Here is an 8,224-nt window from a genome sequence, read left to right on the forward strand (position 1 = left end):
TCACCTCCAAGGCCGGCCTCCCATGGAGGTGGTGTTCATGGAGCTGAGTGTTCCTCCAGCTACTGTCTTGACTGTATCAGACACTGCCTGGAAGACCATCCAGCCGGCAGCCACCGACCTTTATTTAGTCATTTCAGAAGGTTCTGTTTTAAACTTGCTAGCCCGGAAAGCTGAGGAGAGGCCTCCCCTCGCTTCTGCCAGTCCCCAGCCTAGGTCCCAGCTGCTCTCTCTGGAGCACAGGGAGAGCCACGCTGTCTCCAAGGAAACTAAGGGATTCTTTTTTTTTTTTTTTAAACTCCCCACCCTGCTTTAATTGGCAGTTCCATGACCTCCAGGATGCACCTGGCAAGGTCCTAGGATTCCTTCTGGGGGTTTAGCGGAGGGAGACGAAGGGGACGGAGGGCTGGCCCAGACTGCTGGCCCCTGGTTTAGCTTTCTGTCCATCAGGTTTAGCCCTAACTTTGCCCCTTCCCCCAACATTTCTCTCTCTAATTCTTGAGTACCTCTCCCCCCAACCATCCCCTCGTCAGCACACCTGCTTAGATATTGGTCAAAGGGAATGAGAGAACCTGGGATTCTCATGGCAGGTGGAGGATGTCTGTTGAGTAGACCCTATAGCTTCACAGAATACATCCCAGTGGTTAGTGAAGAGGCTCTGGAGTCATTCCCCAGATTGCCACTTTCTAGTTGTGTGACCTTGGCCAAGTAAAACCTCTATGTGCCTCAGTTTTCAACTCTGTCATATGAAGATAAATACCCACTGCCTGGGGCTGTGGAGATAATTATAGAAGAGAATGCTTGTAGAAGGCTTAACCTAGTGTCTTGCATATCTTAAATGAAATAAATATGAATTAGCCTTAATAAGTGTGGCTGCATAAAAAAGGATGAGTTCATGTCCTTTGTAGGGACATGGATGAAGCTGGAAACCATCATTCTGAGCAAACTATCACAAGGACAGAAAACCAAACACTGCATGTTCTCACTCGTAGGTGGGAATTGAACAATGAGAACTCTTGGACACAGGATGTGGAACATCACACACCGGGGCCTGTCGTGGGGTCGGGGGAGGGGGGAGGGATAGCATTAGGAGATATACCTAATGTAAATGACAAGTTAATTGGTGCAGCACACCAACATGTCACATGTATACATATGTAACAAACCTGCGCATTGTGCACACGTACCCTGGAACTTAAAGCATAATAATTAAAAAAACCAAAAATGTGTTTCTTGAAAAGACAGTGTATATAGAAGCACCTTAAAAAACTACAAATTGTCATTTGAATTTGTTTCTATTTTTATTTTCCAAGTTTTACATGATCACAACATATAAAATAAACATTTCTATTATAATTTTAAAAAAAGTAAGTGTGGCTGCTTTTATTTCTGGGAAATATTTGTGGGAACGAAAGGTGGTTGAATGAAACCTGCGCTAAGAGACAGACCTAGGCTTGCATTCCCACTTTGCTGCTTACTTGCTTGGTATTCTGGGCTTAGCTAATTTAACTCTGTGAGCCTCCATCTCTTCATCTTTAAAACGGAAACAATAATCCCTAACTCTCAAAGTTGTTTGGCGGAGATGAGATAATATTTATAAACTGCTTTGCACTTAGCAGGGGCTCTGTAACTGCTTGACTCTACCACTTACTTTGTGCAAATGACATTCCCTCTGCTGACTTAGTTTCCCCATCTGGAAAATGGGGACAATAATAGTACTACCTCATAAGCTTGCTGTGATGATTAAAAAATGTACTTTAAGCAAAGCTCTTAAAATGTGCTGGCATTATTAGATATAATAATTATTGTAGTACTAAAAGTTGATAACCAATATTTATTAGGTATTTAATTTATTAACTACTTACTATATTCCAGGCACTGTGCATTGCAGCCCTATGACTTAGGAGCTCTTATCAGCTCCACTTTACAAAGACTAAGTTGAGGCTTACAGAGTAAGATCTCTTGCACAAGGTCACCCTGCCTATAAGTGGCAGAGTTACTGTCATTATCAATGACTACAGTGGTGTGGATATGTGGGAACAGTGACCAGAACCCTACACAATTGCCATCTTTGTGGTTCCAGGTTCCAAAGGCCCCTAGGGAAAACTGGACTTCGGGTGCAGCCTAGCCGGGGTGATGGATGAACAGTGACAGCTCCTGCCGAAGAGTAAACACAGAGAAATATAGGTCAGTTCCGACAGCCAAGCCCCCATCCGCTTGTTTTACCCCAAAGCCAATCTTGTCAACTTGATCTTCTGCCCTGAACTTCAGCTGTCCTCCGGATGTTCTTGTGTTTCATGAATTATGCAGACTTGACAAAATGTGTGCTGCAAAGATTAAAATCTCTGTTCTTTTTATTGGAAGATCTTTCTTTCCTCCACGGAATTTTTTTTCTTCCTCTTGCTCTCATAGCATACTTTTTAGCCATCCTGCAGAGCACCTTCTCTCTTCTTTCTCTTAACAACTCAATTTGTGATTCCATTGCATGGTGCTAGTCTCACTGCAGATTCTGTCTCATTAATGAAATATACTTTACGGAATCCCAAAAGGTGTCCTCGATGAGCTTCCGGGAATTTCCATGAACAAATTTAGCAGATCAGGACTCCCACAGAAAAGCCCTGAATTGTATGTAGCATGTGCTCATATCCATGGTATAAATACCACCACGGTCAATTTCAAGCTACCATATGAAGTCGCTAAATATGAACTTGAGAAGAGATACCCACAGTCAGCTCTCATGAGCTCGTAGGATCTGGCTTCAGACATGACTGGGTTCAATTCTTAAATGCGATGGAGGCAATTATTATTATTGGTCTGAGTATAGGTCCTGACCATGCCACTTACCAGCTGTGGGAATCTGGGCAATTTACTTAACCTCTTGGAGCCCCAGTTTCACCATCTGTATATCAGTCAGGATAGGCTGGGTGTTGCTATAGAAACAGATAACCCTGAATCTCAGAGTCTTAACATAACAAAACTTTATTTCTCATTCATGTAGTGTGACAAAGGCATACTGGTTTGTTTTGGGGGTGGGGGGGTCTTTGCTCAAAGCTTTTCAGGAAAATAGGCAAATCGAGGCTTCATGTTGATCTGTTTTCACAATCATTTCCATAGCAGGGAAAAGGTGATATGCTGAATTGCATGCTCTGTTTTAAAGCTTTCACCTGAAAATGGCATATATCACTTGTACTTACATTTTATTAGCTGAAATGAGCAAATGGCAATACATAAATTCAAGAGGGTGAAGCAGAGTAATCCTAACATGTGCCTGGAAAGAGAACCAGAATTTCTTGGGAAACAGCCTTGATGATTACCCTAAGCTCTTAGATATCATTTTCTCTAGTGGCTTTTAATTTTTTTCATTAAGCAGCTGTGGCTGAAAGTGAGCAGAAAATATGGGTGGGCATTACACCTCTAGTCAATCCCCATTTTTCCACAGAGGCCCTGGAGACAGCCATTTAGAATGCTAGGATCTCAAAGAACATGATTGAAAACCTACAAATCTTGTTCCAACTCTCATTTTTTAGATAAGAACATTGAGAAGGTTATGGGACCTAGCTCAAGTCACACAGTAGATGAAGGTCAGAAATAGGACCAAGACCTAACTCCCAGTCCAGTGCACCTTCCCCTTAGTGACAGTCCACCACCCCAAATATCATCCTTGTTCATGAGGTTCACTGGTACAGCAGGTGGAGCTGGAAAGGTACACACTAATTATGTAACAATGAAGGGGTTTAAGCCAGAGGAAGGTGCTGGTTATATGTGGGTAGGACATGTACCCAAGAGTCTTTGAAAGGGGAGTCCCCACCAAGCACAAGCTGGAGGCATCAAGAGGAGGGAAGCACTGGGGGGAGTAGAGTGGCTCTGGGGCCACAGCAGGGGGTAAGGAATCATTCAGAGCTGGATTTTGGAGGTGGATGGTGCATCAGTCAGGACTTTATGTTGCAAGTGACATAAAAGTCAATTCACACTTACTTAAACAATCAGGAGAATTTATTGCCTAGGGTAATTGAAAAGTCCAGAGGTGCATCAAGATGCAGGCTGGCTTTATTGTAGCAGCACAATGGATGTCACCAAGAATTCAGGTACTTTGTTTCTTCCCAGGCTCCAGGATCTCCTTTGTGCAGCCATAGGATGGTTGTCAGAGTTCTTCCCACCGTGTTGTCTGAGGGATGAGGGACAGTTCTTTCTAATAGTGCCTGTGGAAAAGAGAGAAAGCTTTTCTTTCCTAAGAACCTCTGCAAACATGTTCCAATAACTCATGGATCTTGAGGCTGGCTACATGTATTTATCCCTAAACCAATCATGTGCCCAGGAGGTGGGCTATACTAATGGCTGAAGCCAGTCTACCCAAATAATATGGCTGAGAAGAGGGGAGTGCTGGCTTCAGAAAGGATATTTAGGCTACTGTTTGGAAAGGAAACATGGATGTTGGGAGACCCCAAACATAAGACTATCCATCACTGCTGAGTGGACAGAGGGGAGAGAAGATGGGGTTTGAGGTGGGAGGAAAGCAGCTTACTCAATAAGAGTGAGTCTGTCCATCAGAACTTCCACTAGGCCTGGTGAGTCCTGGACCCTAGTCTCTATATTATGCCACTGTTTCCCTGTCTGAAATATTGTATGGCCCCTGGCTGCCTTTCAACAGATCTAGATTTTCCATTCGGGGTGCAAGAGCCTTGGAAAAGTAATCTTGGAGTGTGTTAACCATGCCTTTTATTTTCCGTATGTTGATGCTTTGACTTCTGAGGCCTTGCTGACCCTTAGGGACTGCCCTTCCCAGGGTTAGCCAATTATTACAGGTAGTAAACAACTAGGCTACTGAGCATGCTTTTCATCTGCAAACCAACCACCAGAGCCCACACTCCAACCACCTCCTGTATCAGTCTCTCATACTCTGGGATCACTGCTATAATTACCCAAGGCCAGGTACCACACAACCAGGGACAGCCCCTATACCGCAGAGACTGCCGAAATTATTCAAACTAGCCAAAAATAAGCATGCTTACCCTGCTTTGCTTGTTCCTGCCTGTGATACCACAACAAAGTCTTTGGCCCACAGCTTCCCCTCTCTCCCTTGCCTCCTGACCAAGGTTAATGCTTCTCCATGTGCCCCCCACTGCCCAGTGGCACACATCCTCCTCTTGGGAACTGTGAGTAGCAAACTATCTTTTCAATGGCAGTCATCCCTTGATCTATTGGATTCACACACCTCAAATTTTCTATTCACACACTATATTTTTTAAGTGAGGATATGAAGATGGCTGATTTTAACCCCCTACATCTCTTACCTTTGGCTCTTTGTCTCTGGAATCTTCCCTAAATGATACATGGTCTCTGCTCTAGATATACCTTCTCCAACACCTGCAGCAATTGTTTCTGCAGAATGAGGTTGAAGAAAGCAGCAGTTGCCTCCATCTGAGTGGAGGACCAATCTTCACAGACAGGTGAGCCAAATTTCTCTTCCCACTCAGCTCCACTCTCTCTTTCAATATCACCACATTCAGCAGCTAGAATGCATCTCTCCTGAAGCATTTACCTTATTCACCTTCTAATGCATCCTCTCTATAGGCGCCAGTGCTTTGGCAAAACTTCTTAACACTTAGTTGATGTGGCTGCTACATTCTGGAATTTGGGAGCATATTCCTGCAGTTGTTGCCAAGTAAGAGAACAAAGAGGCAGGTTGGAATGAGAAAGGGGATCTGTATTCATCAGGGTCCCAGCAGGAAACAGATGGTACGTTCAAAAAAGACAAGAAAAGTTTATGGATCTATTTACAGGGGCAGGGACAGGGGCAGGCTCAAGGAGACAACCAAGGAATGGTAAAGCACCGAGGGGCTGGCATCAGAGGCGAGCTACTAATACACCAGATCTAAAGGGGCCAGGGAAGGAGTGGTGTTTCTGGAACCCTCCACATGACCTGTGATTGTGCAAGGGAGCTCACCTGACAGGAGCCATGGCCATAGGTAGGCAAACAACCATTGCCAAAACTATAGCCTGGCAGGGAGGGAGCAGAGGGAAGAAATATCTTCCTCCTCCTTCCCCACCTATTCTCTTGCTGCTGCCTCTCATTGCTCTAACCCAACTGAAAGCTAGAGGACAAGGCTGGACTTTCATGTGGTTCATAGTGATCAGCCTCCTAGGGACAGAGCAGGGCAGAGAAGAGCAGATGGTAGTTCTGAAAGGGCAGATAACCAGTGTAAGGTCTGTGTTCTATGTTGGTTACCCAGAGCACAGCTGAAGAAAGCTTTGGCCAGAGAAGTCAAGGAAGCAAGGAAGTATAGGTGGAGACATATATGAAATCCTCTACTTAGCCAACTGCTTCTTTTTCGGCCACTTTAGGATGGTTAACAAAAGAAAACATGGTGGTATATTACAAGGGGAGTCATGACGGGCATCAAGTAAAGAGTATAGGACTTGGAGTCACAGGACATAATTCATACTAAAGTGTCAATGACTGACAATGCCATTGCTCCACTAAGGAGACACACTAAACCTAGATTAGTGAGACATACTATCCAGAAGGAAATGGGCCAGGTTGATGAAGGATGAAGACAGGGTCTACTGAAAGATAGTAAGGATGAGAGACTGAGAGGAAAAAGGATTCAGAGACAATCTCTTTCCATTTTTCAGTTTGTTCAGAATGCATTTCCACTAGAATTTGCCTCATCAATCCAAAGATGTCACACCTTCATTACCCTGCTTTTAGAGCCATTTTAATGTTTCCATATGGGGAACAAGAGTAGAGATGAGAAGTTACCATGGCCAAGCCAGGAGGAGACTGACTTGGATCCCAAGATATATCACCAGAAATTGTATGTTTGGGTTAAACAAAAAGAATTTTTTTGCAGTAAATTGATAGCCCTTATCTCCCTTGTATAAGCTTGTGCTGGTCTTAAAGGGATGAACTGGGAAGAAGTGAGGTATTCTGTCTTTATCACAATTACATATTAGAAGTGCAATTCAGAGAACTTCAACTTCAAGACTCAAATCTAAGAGATGAATGGTGGCCTCCAAGATGGCCCCCTGTAATCCTTAATGCATGGCATTTATGACTTTTTGTAGTTTCCTCCTCATTTGAATGAGGGCTACACCACTGGACCATTAGAACTTGTATGACTTCCAAGGATAGGTCATAAGAAAGACAGCAGCCTCTTTCATAGTCTATGGAATTGCTTGCTTTGAAGGAAGCCAGCCGCTATGCTGTGATGATGCTCAAGCACGCCTGTGGAGAGATCCATACAAAGAGGAACTGAGGCCTCCTGCCAGCAGTCAGCACCAGTTTGCCAGTCCTATGGATGAACAACCTTGAGAGCAGATCCTCCAGTTCTCGTCAAGCTTCAGATGACTGCAGCCCTGGCTAACATCAACCACATGAGAGATCCCAAAGCAGAACCAAGTTTTTGACCCACAGGAAGAGTGAGAGGTAATAGATGATTATCATTGCTTTAAACCGCCAAGTTTGGGGTGGTGCAATACATCACTAATACAAGTGGTAATAATTTTCATGAAAATATATGCTTCCACAGTTTATAATTTTTTTTCCCATCCATTTACTCACTTACTCAACATTGAATCACTTGATAAATATTTGCTGAACATCTGCTATGTGCCCAGGAAAGGAAACATAGCTGTGAACTAAACAGGCTACAATTTCTGTTCTTGTTGAGCATACAGTCTCATGTCTCTTGATTAAAGGAACCATAGTGTCATAATTAGGTTCATGGGCTCTGGGGACAGCCTGCCATCAAGTCTTTTCTTGGCCATCAAGTCTTCCTAGCCATATAGCCCTGGACAAGTTGCTCCATCTCAGTTAACCTCATTTTCCTTATCCATAAAATGAGCTTAAGAATAGTAACTACTCCATAGGAGCATTGTAAGAAATAAATGAGATGATAAAAGTTTTTTCTAGTGCTGGGCACCTAGTAAGTGCTCTGTAAATTGTACCTGCTGTTATGAGTAACCTTAGAGCATCTCAGGAAAGTATGTGAGTGTTCTTGGTCCCATTTTACAGGTGATAACTCAGCCTCAGAGAGGCCAAGTGACTTTGCTCAAGGTCACAAAGATGAAGGACTTGCATTCCCATCTTCAGACTCTATGGCCGAGTGCTCATCTGAAGTTCCACAAGAGATAGTTCCTCTGGGAGAGACCATGATTTGGGCCCCACTTCAGATGTAGGCTGTATCCTTAGCTGACAGTGTATTGCCTTCTCTTGGTAAAAAATTAT

At 43.8% G+C, this 8,224-nt stretch overlaps 1 long non-coding RNA gene across 1 annotated transcript; it reads left to right on the forward strand.

Moving 5' to 3' along the window:
- The first annotated feature begins 2,086 nt into the window (after positions 1-2,086).
- Positions 2,087-7,416, forward strand: LOC105370017 (uncharacterized). Its single transcript, XR_001749169.1, has 3 exons — positions 2,087-2,184; positions 5,344-5,444; positions 7,185-7,416. It is a non-coding gene; the product is annotated as an uncharacterized LOC105370017 (long non-coding RNA).
- The last annotated feature ends 808 nt before the right edge of the window (positions 7,417-8,224 follow it).

This window comes from Homo sapiens, chromosome 12 (genome assembly GCF_000001405.40).
Source record: "Homo sapiens chromosome 12, GRCh38.p14 Primary Assembly".
NCBI classification, from domain to species: Eukaryota; Metazoa; Chordata; class Mammalia; order Primates; family Hominidae; genus Homo; species Homo sapiens.